General features: G+C 41.3%; 1 protein-coding gene and 1 pseudogene across 5 annotated transcripts in view, besides 1 other annotated feature; both read right to left on the bottom strand.

The window, feature by feature from the left end:
• Window positions 5,153-5,320: a silencer, noted in NCBI's record as "fragment chr5:134064440-134064607 (GRCh37/hg19 assembly coordinates)". NCBI's record gives its function as "represses an EF-1alpha promoter that drives an FKBP-Casp9 reporter gene in an ReSE screen in phorbol 12-myristate 13-acetate-treated (for megakaryocytic differentiation) K562 erythroleukemia cells {active_cell/tissue: K562(+PMA)}" and the evidence as "EXISTENCE:reporter gene assay evidence [ECO:0000049][PMID:32094911]".
• Window positions 6,161-27,063, bottom strand: part of SEC24A (SEC24 homolog A, COPII component) — a 79,528-nt gene continuing 58,625 nt past the window's right edge. For 4 of the 5 annotated variants that reach the window (XM_017008961.3, XM_047416648.1, NM_021982.3 and 1 more), the window contains 6 exons: window positions 25,182-25,357; window positions 18,909-19,046; window positions 15,897-16,001; window positions 12,980-13,072; window positions 10,400-10,503; window positions 6,161-9,090 (listed from right to left, as the gene is read on the bottom strand). In XM_017008961.3, the coding sequence (XP_016864450.1) occupies window positions 8,976-9,090; window positions 10,400-10,503; window positions 12,980-13,072; window positions 15,897-16,001; window positions 18,909-19,046; window positions 25,182-25,357 (731 nt within the window). In that variant the 3' untranslated portion in view covers window positions 6,161-8,975. Of the gene's footprint in view, window positions 9,091-10,399; window positions 10,504-12,979; window positions 13,073-15,896; window positions 16,002-18,908; window positions 19,047-25,181; window positions 25,358-27,063 lie in introns of those variants that run through there. The other variant, XM_047416649.1, reaches the window with a different exon arrangement.
• RNU6-757P (RNA, U6 small nuclear 757, pseudogene) lies at window positions 18,488-18,587 on the bottom strand (annotated as a pseudogene).

The following is a 27,063-nucleotide window of genomic DNA, read 5'->3' as shown; positions in this document are numbered from 1 at the left end:
GTGGAGGTGGCAGTGAGCCAAGATCATGCCATTGCACTCCAGCCAGGGTGACAGAGGGAGACTACGTCGCAAAAAAAAAAAAAAAAGTTAATATAAATGTGTGGATGTTGCCGTGGTTTGGGACAAAATCATTTGGCTCCTTGGATAATGTTACTCTCCGATGTTACCCCAGGGTGACACTGATGAGGATTTCTGCTACTCTAGGAGAGTGGCAATTTAAGGTTTCTGGCCTCCCTTGCTCAGGCAGTCCCCATGCTTTTTTTTATTCTTTGAGACAGAGTCTCCCTCTGTTGCCCAGGCTGGAGTGCAGTGGCTCCAACGGGGCTCACTGCAGCCTTGACTTCCCAGGCTCAACTGATCCTCTCACCTAGCCTCCCAAGTAGCTGAGACCACAGGTACATGCCACCACAGCTGGCTATTTTTTATTTATTTATTTATTTAGAGACAAAGTCTCTTGCTCTATCACCCAGGCTGGAGGGCAGTGGTGCGATCTCGGCTCACTGCAACCTCCACCTCCCGGGTTCAAGTGATTTTCCTGCCTCAGCCTCCCAAGTAGCTGGGACTACAGGCATGTGCCAGCATGCTTGGCTAATTTTTTGCGTTTCTAATAGAGATGGGGTTTCATTGTGTTAGCCAGGATTGTCTCAATCTCCTGACCTTGTGATCCACCCGCCTCGGCCTCCCAAAGTGCTGGGATTACAGGTGTGAGCCACTGCACCTGGCCTATTTTTTATTTTTAAAGACAGGGTCTTGCCATGTTGCCCAGGCTGTTCTTGAACTTCTGAGCTCAAGCAATCCTCCTGCCTCAGACTCCCAAAGTGCTGGGATTACAGGCATGAGCTACCACGCTTGGCCTCTCCAGGCTTGTGAAGCCCTCCTGTACCTGCTGTTTTCAGCACTCCTATAAAGTGAATTATTTTCATGCCTCATCTCTTTTGCCAAATCATTGCACATGAGTATTATCCTGACTCAAAACCCCTAATACTTGAAGGAAGAATTCAGGGAGAAAGCTTCCAACACAGACCAATTGGTTTGTGCTGACCTTGCCATAACCCTGGCTGAATTGCTAAGAATCTTATCCTTTTAAATGATACTGCAGTTGGATGTCACCACGGAGAAGCACGATTTGAGGAAGTGATAATTATGACACACTGATTAATCCTGCCAACCAATATAAAGAAATAGTCCCCGTTCATGAGGACAAACCCATGCTCCAAATCATAACATGCTGATGATAAATTAGCATTCTCATAATATGTGGTAGGAACTAAAAAAAGTCTCTTGATTTATAATAGTAATCACTTAAAACTTAACATAGGTAAAATATTCACAAAAAGGAAAAAACAAAAACAAAACAAAAAACTGGCTGGGCATGGTGGCTCACACCTGTAATCCCAGCACTTTGATAGGCCGAGGCTGGAGGATCACTTGAGCCCAGACACTCGAGACCAGCCTGGGCAACATGGTGAAACCCCATCTCTACGAAAACTACAAAAAATAAAAATAAATAAAAATAGCCTGTAATCCCAGTCACTTGGGAGGCTGAGGTGGGAGAATCCTTTGAGCCCAGCAGGTCAAGGCTGCAGCGAGTTATGATCCTGTCAATGCACTTACTGTGTGACAGTGAGACCTTGTCTAAAAAAAAAGAAAAAAAAAATGAACATGTAGATGCTCAATGAATAACTGTGAAAACTTGGAATTAATTCATATTTCCAATATTGAGAGAAAAATAATAAATATTGATTAAATAGCTAATAATATGCTATTATGCAAACACTAGCAATGCTAAAGTAGTATGTATAATGTATAATGCAAAATTGAATCTTAACTATGATTTATGAGAGAATACAAAATTCAAATGCATTGAACAAAGAGTGGAAGGGAATAGGGAACATAAAAAGACACCTTTTATGATTGTGGATGGACTTTCTAGTTTCACTAAGTTATGTCTGAGCTTGTTCATTCATTCATCAATTATTTGAATGCCTAATATATATCAGCTACTAAGCTAGTTAAGAGTGTAAGAGTGTTAAATTTTCAGGTGGAAATAAATTCCCAGGAAACAATCCTCTACCATCTCAGTGTCTCACCAGTTATCTAAAATAGTAGTGTTTTTTGATAATCTCTAGGTTGTAAACCCTCAAATTGGCATTCATAAAGCAATTGTGAAGACCTATTTAGAATGTAATTAGTGAACATCTAAAAAAGAAAGGTTAAATTATAAGAAAGAAACTCATATTCAGAGAGGTCCAATCTCCTTTTGTCGTAGTCAATGTCTAAAGGAAACAAACATAACTTAGGGTTGTGGGTATCTACCTAGAAAAGCGTCTAACCTCTTAAACATACAAGTAACAACGTGTCTCTTCCCTCTTCTCCTTTAATAACAAAGTTGGCTAAATATAATCCCAGGGTAAACAAAAGATTTTTTCATTTGAGATAGCCTATAAAAGCCAGATGAAAGTTTCAGTTCTTTAGATAGATGTTTTGAAATATGATGGCTCATTTAAGTCAGGTGAGAGTTAAAGTGTCAAGATTTCATGTTATGTGCTTACCAATGTCTGGGGAACCTTTTCCTGGTGGGGTTTCTGTAGTTTCAGTTATCCTTCCTAGCACATCTCAGTGGTATGTGATTCTTTGATAAATGATGTGCATACATTCATACTAATTTCTATCTCCCTCACTATAGACTTTACAAGGGCAGGCCCTTCCTTTTTTTTTTTTTTTTTTTTTTGAGACGGAGTCTTGCCCTGTCACCCTGCTAGAGTGCAATGGCACTATCTTAGCTCACTGCAACCTCCACCTCCCAGGTTCAAGCGATTCTCCTGCCTCAGCCTCCCGAGTAGCTGGAATTACAGGCACATGCCACCATGCCCAGCTAATTTTTTGTATCTTTAGTAGAGACGGGGTTTAACCATGTTGGCCAGGCTGGTCTTGAACTCCTGACCTTGTGATGCGCCAGCCTCGGTCTCCCAAAGTGCTGAGATTACAGGCATGAGCCACCACACCCGGCCAGGCCCTTCCCTTTTTTAAAAAAAGTACCACTTTGCCCCAAGTCTAGCACTGAGTACCAGACTTTAGTACTAGACTAAATTTACCAGAATATTTGCAGAAATTTTTCTCTTAGAGCAAGTGTCAAAACTTGGCATTTTCAGTGACTTTTTTATATGATTTGTATTTGATCCTAGTATTTTTTTAGGTAGGCTAATATTAGTAATTTTTAAAATAAACTGTAGATACAAAGCTGAACAGATTGAATAGCAATAATTAAGTGATAAAATTAGAATCCAGTTTTTGGGGTTACAATTATGGCAGTAAGTTGATGCTTGGATTCCTCTACTACACACAGTTAAAAATAAAAAAGGAGACAAAAGATAGCTTGCTTGATTCAAAACCATGAGAGGAACATCTCAGCAGATCAAAGAGTCAGAAACACAAGGAAGTGTAGAGTTGAAATCAGATGCCTGGTGGGCTGCAGGTCCAGAAGCAGGAGAAAGAGAACATTTTATGGGGTGACAGGCATTATTCATGCTCTATATGAGACAAGGAAGACCAGACCAAACTGTTTAAAGCCTGTCCTCACTCCAAAATGTTCAAATCATAACTCGCTATTGACCTACACAGCCTTGGATTTCCGCTTTAAAAGAAAGAAGGCAGAAGGGAGGGCAACAATTACACTTCCCACTATAGGTGACTGCAATGATGATATCCCCAAATCATTACAGAATAGGAGCCCAGAAGCACCACTAAGAGCCCTAGTTCTGGAAAAGGGGTCAGGAAAAGGCAATTATAAAACCCTTAGATAAGAGGTAGGCATAAACAAAGAGAGAAGAACTAAAACAAAAATAAAAATACTTCCCCTCAAATATGCCTGAAAACCCATATTCCAACGAACATGAAGAAATACAACACTTAAATTCTTCCAGCCGAGTTAAAAGTTGGAATAGAAATTTATTCCAGAAAGAATTAATTTTATAGAACAGTTTTCAAATATTTGAAAAGGAAATGGCTGGGAGTTTTTCAGAATTGTAGACAAGAATCTTTAAAGTGTGCTCTGAATAACAAGCAGGATAAAAAAATAAACAACAGGCTGGGTGCGGTGGCTTATGCCTGTAATCCCAGCATTTTGGGAGGCCGAGGCGGGCGGATAACCTGAGGTCGGGAGTTCGAGACCAGCCTGACCAACATAGAGAAACCCCGTCTCTACTAAAAATACAAAATTAGCCAGGTGTGGTGCTGCATGCCTGTAATCCCAGCTACTTGGGAGGCTGAGGCAGGAGAATTGCTTGAACCCGGGAGGTGGAGGTTGCAGTGAGCCGAGATCATGCCATTGCACTCCAGCCTGGGCAACAAGAGTGAAACTCTGTCTCAAAAAAATAAACAACAACAACAACAACAAACCAACAGTAATAAAACTATAGTACATTAAGGATAAAAGCCAAGACAGGTGGATCACTTGAGGCTAGGAGCTCGAGACCAGCCTCGTCAACATGGTGAAACTCTGTCTCTATTAAAAATACAAAAATTACAGGCATGCGCCACCACGCCCGGCTTATTTTGTATTTTTAGTAGAGATGGGGTTTCTCCATGTTGGTCAGGCTGGTCTTGAACTCCCAACCTCAGGTGATCCACCTGCCTCAGCTTCCCAAAGTGCTGGGATTACAGGCATGAGCCACCGCGCCTGGCCAGTTATCTTTTTATGACACAAGGGTACAGAAAACAATGGAGTAATATCTTAACATTATCAATGGAAAAATAACCTTTGATATAGAATTTCAAACCCAGCTATCCTTGAGAAGCAAGCATCAAGAATTCAGTTTATGACCTCCCAGACATCTACATAGGCTATTTAAAGCATCTTCAGCAATAATTTTTTCACTGACATAATTTGGATGCACAACATAGCACTACTTAGTAATTGGCAAGTTGTTCGTGTCACTTTTTACTTAAAGAGACAGGGTCTTGCTTTCTTGCCCTGGGTGGAATGCAGTGGCACAATCATGGTTCATTGCAGCTTCACACTCCTAGGGTTAAGGGATCCCCCTGCCTCAGCCTCCTGAGTAGCTGGGACTACAAGCGTGAGTCACCATGCCCCGCCACCTTTTTTTTTTTTTTTTTTTGTGACTGAGTCTCACACTGTCACCCAGGCTGGAGTACAGTGGCGCGATCTCGGCTCACTGCAACCTCTGCTTCCCAGGTTCAAACGATTCTCCTGCCTCAGCCTCCCAAGTAGCTGGGATTACAGGTGCCCATCACCACGCCCAGCTAATTTTTTGTATTTTTAGTAGAGATGGGGTTTCACTATGTCGGCCAGGCTGGTCTCAAACTCCTGACCTTGTGATCCTCCCATCTCGGCCTCCCAAAGTGCTGGGATTACAGCACTTTTTTCTACTGGGATTACACTTTTTTTTTTTTTGAGATGGAGTCTCGCTCTGTTGCCCAGGCCGGAATACAGTGGCGCGATCTCAGCTCCCTGCAACCTCCGCCTCTCGAGTTCAAGCAAATCTCATGCCTCAGCTTCCCAAGTAGCTGGGATTACAGGCACCTGCCACCATGCCCAGCTAATTTTTGTATTTTTAGTAGAAACGGAGTTTCACCATATTGGCCAGGGTGGTCTCAAACTCCTGACCTCAGGTGATCTGCCCGCCTCGGCCTCCCAAAGTTTTGGGATTACAGGCATGAGCCACCACACCTGGACTTTTTTTTTTTTTTTTAGATGGAGTTTTGCTCTTGTTCCCCAAGCTGGAGTGCAATGGCACGATCTGGGATCACTGCAACCTCGGCCAGGGTTCAAGCGATTCTCCTGCCTCAGCCTCCCAAGTAGCTGGGATTACAGGCATGCGCCACCATGCCTGGCTAAGTTTTTGTACTTTTAGTAGAAATGGGGTTTCACCATATTGGCCAGGCTGGTCTCGAACTCCTGACCTCAGGTGATCCACCTGCCTTGGCCTCCCAAAGTGCTAGGATTACAGGCGTGAGCCACCACGCCCAGCCTACTTTTAAAAACTATTTTGTAGAGACAAGTTTTCGCCACCTGGCCCAGACAGGTCTTCAACTCCAGGCCTCAAGTGATCCTTACACCTGGGCCTCCCAAACTGCTGGGATTACAGGTGTGGGCCACCATACCAGGCTCATATCACTTTAAATAACTAGTCACTATATATAAGCTCTTTTCAATTAACTTTATTGAATAGCCAAGTTGATAAGTTAGCATAGATCAAACAATGGTCTGCATGGGTTACAAATGACTTTTTTTTTTTTTTAACAGGAATAAAACAGTGAAAATTACAAACTGTAAAAAGGAAGACAAATCTTGTCTCCAACTTTTCAGAGAAGCAAGATTTAACACAGCACATTGAAGATCAATACATATTTGAATTTAAGAACAAGAATTTAATATTACAATATTATACACTACTTTACAAAATTAAAATTTCTATATAAGGATTACATTTGTAATAGTTAACAAAATTTTGAAATCACATTTGGTGGTCCCCTAGATAATAGCTGTTATGCATCTTTGATTAGAAGAAATAAATCTTTATTCTAATTATTGCAAAACAGTCTATTAGACTCAATACATTAAATTAAAAACAGTGAAAATATATGCAAACTAAAATAAATGGTACTGCTTGAGTGACTATTAGTATGTCAGACTTACAGAAATGTTATTTTAAAAATCCTAGAAATTAGAAAAATAGAGTACTTTTTATGGTAGAACTGCCATGCTCAGATTTAAATACCAAGATTGCCCTTGTCTGTTACATTAGTAGTTGTAGATCTGTAGAAAATTCAAGGATCTTTCATAATTTACAACTATAATTAAAAAAAATATGGCATAGTGTAAATATTAGTCGCTTTACATCAAAAAGTAATACAAGATGATATGGCAGGTAGTGCCCTATTGGGGGAAAAAAAAAGAATCAAACTAAAAAACACATTCAACATTGCAAAAAATAATTGCCTTATATCAGTATCTCCAAAGGCTCATTCATTCTCTCATTATGTGGAGAACAAATATTGTGAATCCTAACTAAAGTTATGTTTTTCATGACCTGTTATAAAATTATTCTGAATTGCACATGTTACACCGTATCTAAAATAATATTTAAAAGTAAATTTGTGAAATATACTAAAAAAGCATGTGGTAATAACAAGAGTCATACCCACTTAGGGATGTAGTGAGGCACAAGGAAGATTATCCCTAAAAGCACAAATGTTTCCCTCTAGAAGATTCTTTACTACTAAGAAAGGACCTACAAATAACTCCATTTAAAATCACATTAAGAGGAACATTTTAGTTATTTTAAGAAACATCAGCATATAACGACTGTTTCTTTAAAAGAGGGGATAATATAATTCGCTACAATTTGAAAATTGCTTCTTAATAGATGAAGCAGCTTTCAAGAAAACTTCCAGTTCAATGTGCCACTTACACACTGCAAACCAACCTTAACACTGCTTAAGGGAGATATTTTCATAAAACATGATTATTTTGATCCAGCTGGCAAGCAGTAGTTGTATACTGTAGAGGGACTGCTTCTTCCCTATCCCAAACAACTCAGTTAAAGTCAGCTCATATTGATATAAACCTGGAAGTTACTATTCCATTGGTGATCATATAAGACCAAGATTGTAAACATTTTCTAACCCATTAAAACAAAACAAAAAACCCAAAAATATTTTGATCAAGTATTATACATGAACATATTTAAGAAATTCTTAAGACAAAATGAATCTGTGAAAACTGAGCCAAACTCTTAAAGATACTATGTCACAGCACTTTAAATATACAAATGTATAATTTACCTATTTGTAAACAAAATTCACTCAATAGTTTTGACTATAATATTTCTCTAGCTGAATCAAGAAAGCAGTCTCTTAAGGATTTTCAGAAGTCAAGTTTCTTTCATAACTTTAATATGTTGGATGTGTATAATCTTAATATCCACCAAATCAAACAGCAGCATTTATGCTTTCATAGATTTTCATATTCAAGCATAAATATTTCTTATGAATGACTTCCAATTTAACAATTAAACTCCTTAGAAAAATGTTACTGATGTATTTGGATAGCACTTTAGAAACCTTTCATTTCTTCACTCATTTCACCAAAAACCCCCACTTTTATTATATACCCAGAGCAGAAATGCACCAAATAAAATCCACTTAAAGGATCAAGATAATTAAAGTTTCTTATCTCCCTATTATCATTGCTAGTCCCAGTGTTTATGAAGACAGCTCAAATTCTTTTCACTATAGATTAAGACAGTATGTCCAACTCTTCATCAGGAAATCAGAAAACCACCTAATGATAGTTCTCACTTCAAATCAAAGTGACTTTGTTCTTCAAGCATAAAGAATACTGACAGATTTTAAAGCTTGAATGTGTTTCTTCATATTTTTCTCAAGCTATACTAGAATTAGTTTAGTTTTAGTCAACATGATCCTTTCCCTTAACAAAGAAAAAAAAAAGACACGTGTGGGGAATGAATTCTAGTTTTCCTACATTATATTTACTTTCCATTGTTTTTATTTTAAAAACATCACTACCAATCAATTTGTAACTTCCCTGCAACACTTAGGTTTGTGAGGTTTTAAATGTAGCAGCCAAAGATTCAGAAAAATTAAAAATGAGAAATATACATGTAGAACACAGAAATCTTTATTTTACAAAATGTACTTTGCCTCTGCAATATTCTTATTTTAATCCATAACAACTCAAACATAATTGGCAAGAAAAAAGTATCCAATCATACGTAGCTATATTCTGATTTGAAAAATACAGTATTTCAGAGTTGCATGTTTGATTCTCTGCTGTGGTCTTTTATTTGCTATAGGTTGTTGAAATCACAGTGAGAACATCTCAATCATCACATTAGTCCACAAACATAATAGAAAAAGAAGGTATTACACATTTCCAGGTATTCTGCACTATCGTGACATTCCTTAAAAATAAGTCAAATTTCTTCATTCATTCATTTATTCACTTGTTGCTGTATATGCAACAGGAATTCATAATATGATAATGCAGATTCTGTTCTGTCTTCTATCATGTTTTGAAGGAAGTTTGCTTTCATTGGACTCTCATCCCTTAGGAATAAAAGGCAAAAAAATTTAGATAAAATGTAGCAGTAAAATAGACTTGTCAGAAGGCTTTTGATTTCCTCATAACCCTAATAACATTTACTATATAAACAGTTACTTCTAGAGGCTTTCTCTGAGAATACTTGGTTGATTATGTAAATTTCAAGTTGTTTAAGGGAAAAGCTTATGGTGGAATTAAGAGAAATAGTTGATCCAGAAATTCCATTTCTGAATATATATCCAAAGGAATTGAAATCAGTATATCAAAGAGATGTCTGCACTTCCATGATCACTGCAGCATTAATCACAATAGCCACGATATGGAAATAACTGAATGGATTTTTCAAATGTGGTATATATATACAATGGAATTCTACCGAGCCTTTTTTTTTTTTTTGAGATGGAGTTTTACTCTTGTTGCCCAGGCTGGAGTGCAATGGCACGATCCTGGCTCACCACAACCTCCACCTCCTGGGTTCAAGCTATTCTCCTGCCTCAGCCTCCCGAGTAGCTGGGATTACAGGCATGTGCCACCATGCCAGGCTAATTTTGTATTTTTAGTAGAGACGGGGTTTCTCCATGTTGGTCAGGCTGGTCTCGAACTCCCAACCTCAGGTGATCTGCCCGCCTCGACCTCTCAAAGTGCTGGGATTACAGGCATGAGCCACCGCGCCCGGCGACTTCAGCCTTTAAAAAACAGGAAATTCTGTCATTTGTGACATTATGCTGAGTGAAATAAACCAGGCACAGAGAGACAAACACCACACGATCTTACTTATGTGTGGAACCTAAAAAAGTTGAACTCATATAAGTAGAAAGTAGAATTATGGTTATTAGAGGCTAGGAGGCAGGAAGTGGCTATGGAGAAGGAAAGAAGAAATGTTAGTCAAAGGGTACAAAATTTCAGTTAGGATGAATGGATTCTGGTGATCTATTACACAGTATGATGACTATGGTTAATAATGATGTATTGTATATTTTAAAATAGGCAAAATAATGGATTTTAAATGTTCTCACCACAAGGAAACAATAATTGGCTGAGAAGATGAATATGTTAATTAGCCGAATTTGATCATTCCACAATGTATACATGTATCAATAAATTAGTGTACCCCATAAATATATACACTTATTATTAGTCAATTAAAAATGAAAAAAGTTCTGTATTTCCAATCATTGGATATAAGGTATGATTTACTGCTATTTATTGAGAAGAACTCTTTTTCTTTCTTCTTTTTTTTTGCTATACTCTTGTCAGGTCCTGGCAAGGCCAAACAAATTGTTTTACTACTAGCAAATGGAAAATTCAACTTACCTTATTACATAAAGTATTGGGAAAAATGGTCTCTGCTCTCTAAGCCAAGAGATGAAAGCTATTATTCTGGCAGATTCTGGTGTATCAAGTTCTGGAAGGTCTGTCTGTTAACCAAAACCAACAATATCCAATTACTTTAATTACATATCTAATGTATGGTCTATGGTACTTTTCAAATTTTTATTTTTTTAATTACATTTTTTTTCTTTTTTGAGACAAGGCCTCTGTTGACAGGCTGGAGTGCAGTGGCATAATCATGGCTCACTGCAGTCTCAACCTCCAGGCTCCGGTGATCCTCCCACCATAGCCTTCTGAATAGTTGGGACTACAGATGCGTGCCACCATGCCTGGCTAATTTTTATATTTCTTGTAGAGATGGGTTTTGCCATGTTGCCCAGGCTGATTTCGAACTCCTGGGCTCAGGCGATACACCTGCCTCGGCCTCCCGAAGTGCTGGGATTACAGGAGTGAGCCACAGTGCCCGGTCTACTTCTCAAATTTAACTTATTTTTTGAGACAAGGTCTTGCTCTGTTGCCCAGGCTGAAGTGCACTGGTGTGATCATGGCTCACTGTAACCTCCACTGCCTCCTGAGGCTCAAGTGATTCTCTCACCTCAGCCCCACCAAGTAGCTGGAATAAGAGGCGTGTGCCACCTGCCAGGTAATTTTTGTATTTTTAGTAGAGACGAGTATCTCACCACGTTGCTCAGGCTGGTCTTGAACTCCTGGGCTTAAGCAATCTGCCCACCTCGGCCTCCCAAAGTTCTGGGATAACAGGTGTGAGCCACCATGCCTGGTCTTGAATTTTAACATGTATATGAATCACCTGATCATCTTCTTGAACTACAGATAATGATTTAGGAGGTCTGGGGCAGGGTTGTGGTCCTGAGATTTTGCTTTCCTAAAAAATTCCTGCAGTGATGCCAGTGCAACTTGACTTGGGAACACAATTTTCTACGAATATTCTAGAACAGGAGTAGGCAAACTTCTTAAAGGCCCATATAGTAAGTACTTTAGGCTTGCAGATCATTTGGTCTCTGCTGCAACTACTTAACTTTGCCATTGTTTTTTATTTTTTGAGACAGAGTTTCGCTCTTGTTGCCCAGGCTGGAGTGCAATGGCGTGATATTGGCTCACTGCAACCTCTGCCTCCCAGATTCAAGCGATTCGCCTGCCAGAGATTCTCCTGCCTCAGCCTCCAGAGTAGCTGGGAGAGTAGTTGGGATTACAGGTGTGCGCCACCACACCCGGCTAATTTTGTATTTTTAGTAGAGATGGGGGTTTCTCCATGTTGGCCAGGCTGGTCTCGAACTCCTGACCTCAGGTCATTCGCCCACCTCGCCTTGAGACGGGGGTTTCTCCATGTTGGGCAGGCTGGTCTTGAACTCCCGACCTCAGGTGATTCGCCAGCCTCGGCCTCCCAAAGCGCTGAGATTACAGGTGTGAGCCACCACGCCCGGGCAACCTTGCCATTGTTACACCAAAGTAGCCATAAACAATACATAAGTGAACAGGCATGGATGTTCCAATAAAACCTTATTTACAAAAACAAGTAGCAGGTACCCCTTGGGCATAGTTTCTAAGCCCTCATCTAAAAAAACCTCTTAGTTCTTCCCTTCATTTTAGCATGACGTCAAGAATTAATTGATTCGTTCAGTTATTATTAAAAATATAACAATTTCTTACTCATTACCTAAAACGCTTAGTCATCCAGCCCAGTAGTTCTGTTTAAGGCCTGAAAGCCAGTGCTTATCCTAGCTATAATCCTGACACAGCAGTCTTTTATTTATTTATTTTTTGAGACAGGTTCTTGCTCTGTTGCCCAGGCGGGAGTGCAGCAGCATAATCACTGCTCACTTCAGCCTCAACCTCCCAGGTCCTAGCACTCCTCCCATTTCAGCCTCGTAAGTAGCTAAGACCACAGTTGTGTGCCACCATGCCCAGCTATTTTAAAAATGTTCTGTAGTTATGGGGTCTCACTATGTTGCTTAGGGTGGTCTCAAACTCCAGGGCTCAAGTGATCCTCCCACCTCAGCCTCCCAAGGTGCTGGGACTACCAGTGTGAGCCACCACGCCTGGCATATCTATCTTTTTTTTTTTTTTTTTTTTGAGATGGAGTCTCACTCTGTTGCCAGGCTGGAGTGCAGTGGTACAATCTTGGCTCACTGCAATGTCCACCTCCTGGGTTCAAGCGATTCTCCTGCCTCAATCTCCTGAGTAGCTGGGACTACAGGTGTGCGCCACCACGCCCAACTAATTTTTGTATTTTTAGTAGAGAAGGGGGTTCACCATGTTGGCCAGGATGGTCTCGATCTCTTGACCTCGTGATCAGCCCGCCCTGGCCTCCCAAAGTGCTGGGATTACAGTGTGAGCCGCTGTGGCTGGCATATCTGCCTTTTAAATATATAAATTCCCTAATGATTCTATGAGTGGAGTCATAGAATCCATCAACATGAAAACCCATCAATAAAAATTTTTGGTATGATTTTGTTATTATTTTCTGATATCAAAATAGGGGATATTCATGTTTTTGCCAACTTTGAAATGCCCTTTATAATCACTATAATAAAAGAGTCTTACCATAGGCTGTGGAATTGATGCATAGTTTTGAACTCCTAGAACTTGGCTGAGAAAATTCTGTGTACAATTTTTTCCAACCCAAAGCATCAGTACCTAGGGACAGGAATAAAATTATTTTGAGATGCAGCATACATAAAGGTGAGTCTGTTGAGTGAGTACATTTTATTTTTATTTTATATATATATTTGTGAGATAGGGTCTCACTCTGTCACCCAGGCTGGAGTGCAGTGGTGTAATCTCGGCTCACTGCAACCTCCGACTCCTGGGTTCAAGCGATTTCCCACCTCAGCCTCCAGAGTAGCTGGGACTACAGGCGTGTGCCACCATGCCCAGCTAATTTTTGTATTTTTAGTAGAGATGGGGTTTCACCATATTGGCCAGGCTAGTCTTGAACTCCTGACCTCAAGAGATCTGCCTGCCTCAGCCTCCCAAAGTGCTGGGATTACAGGTGTGAGCCACCACACCCAGCTTGAGTATATTTTAAAAGGTCAAAAAGGTAAGTATATTTAGTGAGATTGTACAGCCTTTAACTGAATTAATAATAATTAGTATTTACCTGATGAGACATTTTATGCTTGGCATGAAACAAGGAAGATATGGAGGGGAAAGGTGGCAGACAAATGTACTGCCATGAATCCACTGAACAATGTGGATACATGCTGAGAAACGTGTTGTTAAGTGATTTCTCTGTATGAACATCATAGAGTGGATTTACACAAGCCTTAATGGTATAGCCTACTGTACCTAGGCTACAAACGTCTATAGCATGTTACTGTACTGAATACTGTAGGCAACTGTAAAACAATGCTAAGTATTTGTGTATCTAAACATAGGAAAGGTATAGTAAAAATATGGCAGAAGGGATAAACAGTACACCTGTATAGGGCACTTAACCACGAATGGAGTGCACAAGACTGAAAGTTGCTCTGGGTGAGTCAGTGAGTGATGAGTGAATGTAAAGGCCTAGGACATTACTGGACACTGCTATAAACTTTACAAACACTGTACATTTAGGCTACACTAGAGATATATAAAAAAATTTCTTTCTTCAATAATTAATCGTAGTTTACTATAACTTTATAAACTTCTTTTAATTTTTTTTTTTGAGACGTAGTTTTGCTCTTGTTGCCCAGGCTGGAGTGCAATGGCACGATCTTGGCTCACCACAACCTCCACCTCCCAGGTTCAAGTGATTCTCCTGCCTCAGCCTCCCAAGTAGCTGGGATTACAGGCATGTGCCACCACGCCTGGCTAATTTTGTATTTTTAGTAGAGACGTGGTTTCTCCACGTTGGTCAGGCTGGTCTTGAACTCCCGACCTAAGGTGATCCGCCCGCCTTGGCATCTCTAAGTGCTGGGATTACAGGTGTGGGCTACTGCGCCCAGTCTCTTAATTTTGTTTTTGAGACAGGGCCTTGTTCTGCTGCCCAGGCTGGAGTGCAGTGGTATGATCTCAGCTCACTGCAGCCTCAACCTCCTGGGTTCAGGTGATCTTCCCACATCAGCCTCCCAAGTAGCTGGTATTACAGGTGCACGTGACCACGCCTGGATTTGGTATTTTGAGTAGAGACAGGGTTTTGCTATATTGCCCAGGCTGTTCTCGAATTCCTGGGCTAAAGGAATCTGCCATCCTCGGCCTCCCAAAAGGTTGGGATTACAGATGTGAGCTACTGGGCCCAGCCAACTTCTTCTTTTTTTTTTTTTTTTTTTGAGACTAGGTATCAGTTTGTTGCCCAGGCTGGAGTGCAGTGGTGTGATCTCAGCTTACTGAAGCCTCAGCCTCCCCAGCTCAGATGATTCTCACACCTCAGCCTTCTGAGTTGCTGGGACTACAGCCTGGAGCCACTATGTCTGGCTAACATTTGCATTTTGAGTAGAGACAGGGTTTCACCATGTTGCCCCGGCTGGTCTCGAATTCCTGACCTCAAGCAATCCGCCTGCCTTGGCATCCTAAAGCGCTGCAATTACAGGCATAAGCCACCATGCCCGGACAAATTATTTTAATTTTTTGACTCTTTTGTAATAACACTTAGCTTAAAACACACATTGTACAGTTGTACAAAAATATTCTTTATATCATTATTCTATAAGCATTTTTCTATTTTAAATTTTTTTTTTTTTTTTGAGACAGTCTTGCTCTGTTGCCCAGGCTAGAGTGCAGTGGTGCAATCTTGGCTCACTGCAACCTCTGCCTCCTGGGTTCAAGCGATTCTCCTGCCTCGGCTTCCCAAGTAGTTAGGATTACAGGCATGCCCCACCACGCTCGGTTAATTTCTTTGTATTTTTAGTAGAGATTTTCACCATGTTGGTCAGGCGGGTCTTGAACTCCTGACCTCAAATGATCTACCTGCCTCGGCCTCCCAAAGTGCTGGGATTATAGGCATGAGCCACCGTGCCCGGCCCTATTTTTAAAATTTTTTATCTTTTACTTTTTAAATTGTTTTGTTAAATACTGAAACACAAACACACATTAGCCCAGGCCTATACAGCGTCAAGATCATCAATCTCACTGTCTTCCACCTCCACATCTTGTCTCATTAGAAGGTCTCCAGGGGCAGTAACATGCATAGAGATGTCATCTCCTATGATAATAAGATCTTCTTTTAGAATACCTCCTCAAGGACCCGCCTAAGGTTAACTTTTTAAAAAATTAAGTAGGAGTACATTCCAAAGCAATAATAAAAAAAAATAGCATAGTAAATACTAAATGATACGAATTCTTCAGCTCCATTATAAATCTTATGGGACCACCATCATATAAGCCATGACTTACACATCATTAATCAGTGTACGACTGTATATAGGTTAAAATATGAAATCTGTTCAGGAAGAGAGATATTAAAGGGAATGAAACCAAATGCTAAATTAAAACAGTATAGTAGTTTGCAGTGAGGGTCAGGATAAGTCAAATTACTTACAGAGCCTGCATCCATGAGGAAAGCTCCATCTCTGCTCAGCTTCTCCACTGAAAGCTGAAGAATGGGGGGCTGAGGTATGGTTCTATCACTGATGTTGAGTGCTCCCTGAGGAATTAAGTAAAAGAGTAAAGGTTTTAAATATAGGAAATATGGAGTCACAGTTAAACAACAACAAAAAATTAAATGAATGTTACCTCTACAAGTCTGGGCCTTGCTTAGGTAAATCACAATTATTCTTATTTATTTATTTATTTATTTGAGACGGAGTTTCGCTCTTGTTGCCCAAGCTGAAATGTAATGGCACAATCTCAGCTCACCACAACCTCTACCTCCTGGGTTCAAGCGATTCTCCTGCCTCAGCCTCCCGAGTAGCTGGGATTACAGGCATGCACCACAACACCCAGCTAATTTTGTATTTTTAGTAGAGACGGAGTTTCTCCATGTTGGTCAGGCTGGTCACGAACTCCCAACCTCAGTTGATCCACCCGCCTCGGCCTCCCAAAGTGCTGTTACAGGCGTGAGCTACCGCACCCGGCCAATTATTCATATTTACATATAAAGAAGATGACGAAATAGTTATCACTTATCTAACTAAGCTACTGTGACTCCCAATAAAGCCAAATTAACTTCTGATCTTGTTTCCTTTTTCTTTTTCTTTTTCTTTTTGAGACAGAGTTTCACTCTTGTTGCCAAGGCTGGAGTGCAATGGCACCATCTTGGCTCACCGCAACCTCCGCCTCCCAGATTCAAGTGATTCTCCTGCCTCAGCCTCCCGAGTAGCTGGGATTACAGGCATGCGCCACCATGCCCGGCTAATTTTTTGTATTTTTAGTAGAGAAGGGGTTTCACCATGTTGGCCAGGCTGGTCTCAAACTCCTCAAACTTCAGGTGATCCACCTGCCTCGGCCTCCCAAAGTGCTGGGATTACAGGTGTGATTTACCGTGCCTGGCCATTAACTTCTGATCTTAACCTTTGCTTCAAAAAAGAATGCAATAGGCCACCACAGTGGCTCACGCCTGTAATTCCAGCACTTTGGGAGGCTGAGGCGGGTGGATCACTTGAGGTTAGGAATTTGAAACCAGCCTTAAGAACATGGTGAAACACCGTCTTTACTAAAAATACAAAATTAGCAAGATGTGGTGGTGCACGCCTGTAATCCCAGCTACTCGGGAGGCTGAGGCAGGAGAATTCTTTGAACCTGGGAGGCGGAGGCTGCGGTGAGCCGAGATCAGTCCATTGCACTCCAGCCTGGGCAACAAGTGCAAAACCCTGTCTCAAAAAAAAAAAAAAAGTAAAAAAGTTACCTCAAATTTCATAGGCAATTTTCTTTTACATATGTAAAGTATCTTAAATTCTTTTTTTTTTTTTTTTTGAGATGGAATCTTGCTCTATTGTCACTCAGGCTGGAGTGCAATGGCATGATCTCAGCTCACTGCGACCTTTGCCTCCTGGATTCAAGTGATTCTCCTGCCTCAGCCTCCCGAGTACCCAGGATTACAGGCGTGCATCACCACGACCAGTTAATTTTTGTATTTTTAGTAGAGATGGGGTTTCGCCATGTTGGCCAGGCTGGTCTCGAACTCCTGACCTCAGGTGATCCACTTGCCTTGGCCTCCCACAGTGCTGGATTACAGGCATGAGCCACTGCGCCTGGCCCACATATTAAATTCTTTAAATTTTCAAAGGTTTTTTTTTTTTTTTTTTTAGACAAAGTCTCACTTTGTCACCCAGGCTGGAGTGTAGTGGCATAATCTTGGCTCACTGCAACCTCCGCCTCCCGGGTTCAAGCAATTCTCTGCCTCAGCCTCCCGAGTAGCTGGGATTACAGGCACCCGCCACCAGAGCTGGCCAATTTTTTTGTTTTTCGTATTTTTATTAGAGGCAGGGTATCACCATCTTGGCCAGGCTAGTCTTGAACTCTGGACCTCCTGATCCACCCGCCTCAGCCTCCCAAAGTGCTGGGATTACAGGTGTGAGCCACCATACCTGGCCTGAAAAGTTTTTAACCAAAACATCACTTCCAAAATATATATCTTAACTTGATCACAATTTTAGAAAGATTATGATTTGACATTTTCATTCTTGTGACTTTAATTCTGGTAAATTTCTACCAAAGGAAAACAATGTTACAACTTAGAGAAGTATTTTTTCTTTAATTCAAGGACACTGTTACATTGAACTGGGTGTTCAGATGTAATTTCACTCTCAGATCTAGACGTGCACTTGTTCCATTCTGGAATGATTTCTGTAACAAAAAACCCCCATTCCCCAGAAAAAATATATTTTAAAAATACACCCAGAACTTTTTTTTTTTTTTTTTTAATACTTTAAGTTCTGGGACACATGTGCAGAACGTGCAGGTTTGATATATAGGCATACATGTGCCATGGTGTTTTGCTGCACCCATCAACCTGTCATCTGGGTTTTAAGCCCCACATGCATTAGGTATTTGTGCTAATGATCTCTGTCTCCTTGTCCCCACCCCCTGACAGGACCCAGTGTATGATATTTCCCTCCCTGTGCCCATGTGTTCTCATTGTTCAACTCCCACTTATGAGTGAGAACATGCAGTGTTCGGTTTTCTGTTCCTAAAAATGCTTCACGAATTTGTGTGTCATCCTTGTACAAGGGGCATGCTAATCTTCTCTGTATCATTCCAATTTTAGTATATTTGCTGCTGAAGCGAGCAAAAATGCACCCAGAACTTTTAAAATGTCAGTTGTTAAAAGATCGATTTGTTTGAATAAATTAGTAAGTTGCTCTGGTCAATTTGACAATCTTTCCATTTCTTAGATCTGCTCTACAGATGGTATTTTAGGAAACTTAAAGGCACTATTTTTAAGAGCTTCCCTATACTAAAATTTATTTACTCAGACTTAGCCAAAAAAATAAATAAATAAAATAAAAGCTAAAGCCTTAAATAATAAACAAACCCTTCCTCATTTCTGTACTGGACTATGATTAGGCTTACTAATCTTCAAGTAAAACCACAAAAAAGCAATCCATCTTACCTCATCTGAGAGATTGTCAACTCTATACAAACTGGGATGAGTTGTGAGCATAAGGTAAACCAAGGGCTGGTTTTTCACTTGACACATAGCAAAAATGCGTTCATCTAGACGTGCATTTGTCCCAGTCTGGAATGATTTCTGTAACAGAAAACCCCCATTCCCCACAAAAGAATATATTTTAAAAATACATCCAGAACTTTTAAAATGCCAGTTGTTAAAAGAATATTTTCAGAGAGAATTCACAAATTTACTGTTAATTTTTTTAAAGTATCTTTTTTAAGAAGTCACACACATCTATTAAACTGTAGCTATAGCCCCACCTAAAAGTCTTTTGAAATTAACTAACTGACCATGGCAAAGTTATCTGATCTCCATGGTGTCTGTTTCCTAGTTGATAAAATAGATCTAAACACTCTATCTACCATATAATGATAGTGATAATGATGTAACAATCCAAGCAACACCATAGGAAGGATGAAGTTATATTGCAGATGACAAAGTAAAGGCATACATGAAGGACCAAAAAGATATCCATTACGTCAGTGGTCCTTCTTCGTACCAGGGACTGGTTTCGCAGAAGATAATTTTTCCACAGACTGGTGGGGACATGGTGGAGGATGATTTTGGGATGAAACTGTTCCACCTCATATCATCAGACATTAGATTCTCATAAAGAGTATGCAACCTAGATCTCTCGCATGCGCAGTTCACAATATGGTTGGCGCTCCTATGAGAATCTGATGCTGCCACTTATCTGACAGGAGGCAGAGCTCAGGCAGTAATGCTCCCTCGCCCACTGGTCACCTCCTGCTGTGTGGCTCAGTTCCTAACAGGCCACCCACTGGTACCGGTATGTGGCTGGGGGGTAGTGCACTTAGAATACTGCACTAAGTGGCCCATGAGTGCTGGGTGATGACTAATGGCAGCTGTCATTGATTCTCCCACCATACAAACAATGTAACAAAGAATACTAATAAACAAGAAAAAATAATACTACTACAAATGAGGAAAGCTTCTTAGTAAAATGAGTTAATAAGTAACTATGATATTTAACTGTTATTATTTTCTTTACACAGATAAAAATGGAGAAGAAAAAAGTTATGGGTAAGGTTTTTTTTTTGTGACGGAGCCTCCCTCTGTCGCCAAGGCTGGAGTGTAGTGGTTTGATCTCTGCTCACTGCAACCTCTGCCTCCCAGGTTCAAGCGATTCTCCTGCCTCAGCCTCCTCAGTAGGTGGGATTACAGGTGCGCGACACCACACCCGGCTAATTTTTTTTTTTTTTTTTTGTATTTTTAGTAGAGAGCAGGTTTCAGCATGTTGGTCAGGCTGGTCTTGAACTCCTGACCTCATGATCCGCCCGCCTCGGCCTCCCAAAGTGCTGGGATTACAGGCGTGAGCCACCGCACCCAGCCAGTTATGGGTAAGGTTTTAAGTATTCCAATTGATGGAAAGGAGTAAAACAGGCAGAGAGAAAAGAATAATGAAATTACGTATTAAAACAAGTACACTGACTATATTAAAGGAAGATAATAAAAGCTCTTAAGATTTTAATGGAAGAAGGAAAGTTCCATCTATTCATTCAAAAAATATTTCCTGATTGTCTATTATATACTAGGAACTGTTCTAACTGCTAGGACAAAAAAATGAATGAAAAAGATAAAAATCCTTGTCCTCATGGAGCTTACATCCTATTAAGGGAAGAATAAAAATAAGCAAAATATGTGGTATGTCAGTGATAAATGCTATAGGAAAAATACAGGAGGTAAGGGTGATTAGGGGTGTCAGGATGGTGAGGGATGGGGTGGGATTGGGGTACTGCATATTAAATCGGGAAGATCAGAGAATGTAGGCTTTAGAAAAAAGTATTTCAAGAAAGGCCTGAAGAAGAAAGAAGAGCTCAGATTTTTAAACGTCAAAATTTAAATATTTCGGCCGGGCGCGGTGGCTCACGCCTATAATCCCAGCACTTTGGGAGGCCGAGGCGGGTGGATCACAAGGTCAGGAGATCGAGACCATCCTGGCTAACACGGTGAAACCCCGTCTCTACTAAAAATACAAAAAATTAGCCGGGCATTGTGGTGGGCGCCTGTAGTCCCAGCTACTCGGGAGGCTGAGGCAGGAGAATGGCGTGAACCCGGGAGGCGGAGCTTGCAGTGAGCCGAGACTGCGCCACTGCACTCCAGCCTAGGCGACAGAGCGAGACTCTGTCTCAAAAAAAAAAAAAAAAAAAAAAATTTAAATATTTCCAGGCACGGTGGCTCATGGCTGTAATCCCAACAATTTGGGAGGCTGAGGTGGGCGGATCACAAGGTCAGGAAATTGAGGCCATCCTGGTTAACACGGTGAAACCCCGTCTCTACTAAAAATACAAAAAATTAGCCAGGCATGGTGGCACACACCTGTAATCCCAGCTACTTGGGAGGCTGAGGCAGAAGAATCACTTGAACCCCGGAGGCGGAGGTTGCAGTGAGCCAAGATTGTGCCACTGCACTCCAGCCTGGGCAACAAGAGCCAGACTAGTCTCAAAAAAAAAATTAAATATTTATGTAATCTGTGTACTTATATTCAGAAATAGAAATAAATAATTTGAGTTAAAGAAGTGAGAACTAGAGACCGGGCACGGTGGCTCATGTCTGTAATCCCAGTACTTTGGGAGGCCATGGAGGACGGATCACAAGGTCAGGAGTTCGAGACCAGAATGGCCAACATAGTGAAACCCTGTCTCTACTAAAAATACAAAAAATTAGCTGGGCATGGTGGCGGGTGCCTGTAATCCCAGCTACTCTGGAGGCTGAGACAGGAGAATCACTTGAACCCGGGAGGTGGAGGTTGCAGTGAGCCAAGATCACGTCACTACACTCCAGCCCGGATGACAGTGTGAGACTCCATCTCACAAAAAAAAAAAGAAATGAGAACTGTAGATTCAAAAGCCACTCCTACTAGAAAGTAATGAGTTGCTCTTCTCACCTGGAAAAAACTACACATAACAGACAAGTAGATCCCAGAGTTCAGGAAAAATACAAGATGAAGGCCTGGTGTGGTAGCTCACGCCTATAATCCCAGCAATTTAGGAGGCCGAGGCCAGTGGATCATTGAGGTCAGGAGTTCAAAACCGGCCAGGCGCGGTGGCTCACGCCTGTAATCCCAGCACTTTGGGAGGCCGAGGCGGGTGGATCACGAGGTCAGGAGATCGAGACCATCCTGGCTAACACCGTGAAACCCCGTCTCTACTAAAAATACAAAAAATTAGCCGGGCGTGGTAGTGGGCGCCTGTAGTCCCAGCTACTTGGGAGGCTGAGGCAGGAGAATGGCGTGAACCTGGGAGGTGGAGCTTGCAGTGAGCCAAGATTGCGCCACTGCACTCCAGCCTGGGCGACACAGCGAGACTCCATCTCAAAAAAAAAGAGTTCAAAACCAGCCTGGCCAACATGGTGAAACCCCGTCTCTACTAAAAATACAAAAATTAGCCAGGCGTGGTGGTGAACACCTGTAATCGCAGCTACTCAGGAGGCTGAGGTCGTAGTGAGCCGAGATCGCCACTGCCACTCCAGCCTGGGCGACATAGCGAGACTGTTAAAAAAAAAAAAAAAAAAAAAAGATGCAGAGCAGTCCTTTATTTTTCTTATTAAAAAACTTTTTTTTGTAGGGGTAGAATCTCACTATGTTGTCCAGGCTGGTCTCAAACTCCCAGACTCAAGCAATCAATCCTCCCGCCTTTGCCTCCCAAGGTGCTGGGATTACAGGCATGAGCCACTGTGCCCAGCCAGCAGTCCTTGAACAGTTCTGGAATCTGCAGTGCTGCTTCAGGTGCTTTATTAACATGAGTTGTTTCTTTTTTAATTAAAAAAATTAAATTTTTTAGTAGAGACAGATTCTTGCTTTCTTGCCCAGGCTGGTCTCAAACCCCTAGCTTTAAGCAATCCTTCTACCTTGGCCTCTCAAAGTATTGGGTTATAGGTGTGAACCATGGCATCTGGCCAACATGAGCTTTTATTTATTTATTTTTTATTTAATTTTTCTTTTAAGAGAAGGAGTCTCGCTTTGTCACCCAGGCTGGAGGGCAGTGGTGCAATCTCAGCTCACTGCAACCTCTGCCTCCTGGGTTCAGGCGATTCTCCTGCCTCAGCCTCCCAAGTAGCTGTGACTACAGGTATGTGCCACCATGCCCTGCTAATTTTTGTATTTTTTGTAGAGACAGGGTTTCACCACTTTGGCCAGGCTGGTCTCAAACTCCTGAACTTAAGTGATCCGCCCGCCTTGGCCTCCCAAAGTGTTGGGATTACAGGCATGAGCCACCATGGCCGGCCAACACGAGCTTTTAAATAAAATTTTATAAGGGAAGTTTATCCTGAGGCAATAAGTTTGGACATTCAATTTTGGACACTGGATAAATAAGCCTACTCCACCAGACCAGAGTTTTCCTTCTTTTCTGGGAGGAAGGCAAAGAGCAGGCAGGGGAGACATATAAATAATAAGTAGCAAATGAAAAACCCTACAAACAAAACGAAACAAAGAAAAACCCTACAAACATTTAAACTCAAAGACAAGGATATGGAAGTCCAATCCAGATCATGGAAACAGGTATGCAAGTATACAGGTATAAGAAAGTGTATCTAAAGAAGATTAAGGACCAGGCATGGTGGCTCACGGCTGTAATCCCTGCACTTTAGGAGGATGAGGTGGGAGGATCACCTGAGGTTGGGCGTTAGAAACCAGCCTAACCAATATGGTGAAACCCTGTCTCTACTAAAAATACAAAAATTAGCTGGGGTGTGGTGGTGCATGCCTATAATCGCAGCTACTCAGGAGGCTGAGGCGAGAGAATTGCCTGAACGCAGGAGGAGGAGGTTGAACCCAGGAGGCGGAGGTTGTGGTGAGCCGAGATCGTGCCACTGCGCTCCAGCCTGGGCAACAGAGGGAGACCCTGTCTCAGACAAAAAAAAAAAAAGAAGAAGATTAAGAAGTGTAATGTGGTAGCTCATGCCTGTAATCCTAGCAATTTGGGAGGCCAAGGCGGGCGAATCACCCGAGATCAGGAGTTTGAGACAAGCCTGACCAACATGGTGAAACCTTGTCTCTACTAAAAATACAAAATTAGTCGGATATAGTGGCACACACTTGTAATCCCAGCTACTCAGGAGGCTGAGGCAGGAGAATCGCTTGAACCCGGTAGGCGGAGGTTGCAGTGAGCCAAGATCGTGCTACTGCACTCCAGCCTGGGTGACAGAGCAAGACTCTGTCTCAAAAAAGAAAAGAGAAGTGTAATGTTGCTGAAATTCTGTAGGGACAGGAAAGAGCCAATAAAATAAAATAAAATAAAATAACATGTATGGTCTCTTCTTTTTAAAAAAAAGTTAAATTTTTTGTTGGTGAAAAATTCTAATTATATATATTTATGAGGTATAAAGGGATGCTATGATATAGTATACAATGTGGAATGATTTAATGAAGCTAGGTAACATATCCATAACCTCAAATAGTTATCACTTATTCCTCCTAACTAAAACACTGTACCTTTTGTTCAATATCTCCCCATTCCTGCCCCACCACCCAGCCTCTAGTAACCACCATTCTGCTTTCTGCTTCCGTGTGTTTGATTTTTTAGCTTTCACATATAAGTGAGAACACACAGTGCATGTGTGCCTTCTTGCATCAGCAATATAATATACAATTCTTGTTCTGGAAAACTGATTATCAGTTGAATTTTTTATAATGTCACTGAATACTTTGCTTAGAGAAGCATCTTATGAACAAGGAACTTGCTCTGAATCAGTTTTCTCTAAGTTTCTTTGGTTATTAAACTTTTCAAAGTTCAAATAAGAGGTAAGGTACCTGTCGTCAAAAATTTAACCAGCATAAAGTTACATATACAATGTTTAGGGATTCATAGGATAAAAATTTTGCCTTTTGATGTTTCCATCGTGTTCGTTTCTTTCTTTTTGTTTATTTTGAGACAGAGTCTGGCTCTGTCACCCAAGCTGGAGTACAGTGGCACGATATGGGCTCACTACAACCTCCGCCTCCTGGACTCAACCATCCTCCCACCTCAGCATCCCAAGTAGCTGGGACTGACTACAGGTGTGCACCACCACACCTGGCTAGTTTTTTTGTATTTTTTGCAGAGACCAGGTTTCACCATATTGCCCAGGCTGGTCTCAAATGCCTGGACTCAAGCAATCCACCCACGTCAGCCACCCAAAGTGCTGGGATTGCAGGTGTAGGCCACAGTGCCTGGCCATCATTGTGTTAGTTTCTATATCTGTTTTTCTTACCTGTTTAAGGAGAGCCAACACAAAAAGTGGGAAAAGCCGCAAAGAAAAAGGAACCATGAGTCCAGGCTGCTGGTTACTTAAGACTGAAGAACGGTAAGCTGAAAGGGAGTCAATGACTGCATTCACTAGAGCATCCCGAGCGTCACTCAGACTGGCAGTCATAGATCTGTCAACAGCTAAGCAAGGTGAGGGTAAGGACAAAAAAGAAATATGATAGAAGTTTAGCTAGTCCACTGTTAAGGATAGAAGAGATAATTTTTAAAAACTATACCAAGTATCTCTCCAATTTACTACATACACAAATGAGACAAAACACAGCAGCTAAAAGCATGGTCTGGAGAACTGAGCCAACCTCTGTTGAAATGCTGCTCTGCTATTTCCTAGCTGTATAATGATTTGGCAAGTAACTTAACCTTCCTGAGCCTCAGTTATGCTACTGATTGTAATCCAACACTTTATATACCATTGAGAAAGAAAAACATTGCAATTAAACACACAATGCTTTCCTGTGTTTCCTGAAATGCACAATGTTTCGAAACAGAGTTCTTTTGAAATTTTAATTTTAATTAATTAAAACAATTTTTTTGTACCAAGTCTCCCTATGTTGCCCAGGCTGATCTCAAACTCCTGGCCTCAAGCAGTCCTCCTGCCTCAGCCTCCCAAAGTGTTGGGATTATAGGCACAAACCACCATGCCCAGCCCAGAGTTTTTATTTTACATTTACAGAAAGAGCTCTTAGAGTTATTTATTAATTTATTTAGAGACAGAGTTTCGCTCTGTCGCCCAGGCTGGAGTGCGGTGGTGTGGTCTTGGCTCACTGCATCCTCCGCCTCCCAGGTTCAAGCAATTATCCTGCCTCAGCCTCCTGAGTAGCTGGGACTACAGACATGTGCCACTATACCTGACTAATTTTTTTGTTTTGTTTTGTTTTGTTTTTTTGTATTTTTAGTAGAAATAGGGTTTCACCAAGTTGGCCTCTTATTTAGACAGATTTTCATCATTTGCCATGACACTCTGTTTATACGCATTTCTGCATAAAAACATTCTTTCAATACTTAAAAAAAAAGCATAATTGAAGACTTCTCAAATAACTAAACTCCATCCATGTGGCACTAAAAATACATTCAATATGGTAGCAGAACCAATACTTACAAAGTTGTGACAGTTTATCAAAAATCCACAAAACCCATCTAATAGTTACTGCTGTCAATAATAATAATAATCATAGTTACAAAAAAAAGTAACTTAAACAAAAAAATAGGCCAGGCGCGGTGGCTCACGCCTGTAATCCCAGCACTTTGGCAGGCCGAGGCGGGTGGATCACGAGGTCAGGAGATCGAGACCACCCTGGCTAACATGGTGAAACCCCGTCTCTACTAAAAATACAAAAAATTAGCCGGGTGTGATGGCGGGCGCCTGTAGTCCCAGCTACTGGGGAGGCTGAGGCAGGCGAATGGCGTGAACCCTGGAGGTGGAGGTTGCAGTGAGCCGAGATCACGCCACTGCACTCCACCCTGGGCGATAGAGTGAGACTCCACCTCAAAAAAAAAAAATAAATAAATAAAATAAAGGCAGTGATCTTCAAATTTCATAGGTCACAATCTTGAACATCTAACAACATAAAAGACTAAAGTGTGGGTAAATCCTTTACCAGGCTCCACGTAAAACATTTTTCCCAATAGGAAATTCAAGAAAGTGGGTAACTATTCCTGATACAGACAGAATTAAGTTTGAAGCAAATGGACCTACTGAGGCCGGGTGTGGTGACTCACAGCTGTAATCTCAACAGTTTGGTAGGCCAAAGCAGGAGGATTGCTTGAGCCCAGGATTCAAGATCAGCCTGGGCAACATGGTGAGACTCTGTCTCTAAAAAAATTTTTTT

The sequence above is a fragment of the Homo sapiens genome, chromosome 5 (genome assembly GCF_000001405.40).
Source record: "Homo sapiens chromosome 5, GRCh38.p14 Primary Assembly".
NCBI lineage: Eukaryota > Metazoa > Chordata > Mammalia > Primates > Hominidae > Homo > Homo sapiens.
Note: the sequence above shows the minus strand (reverse complement) of the source record. Positions and strands in the feature narration are given on the sequence as shown.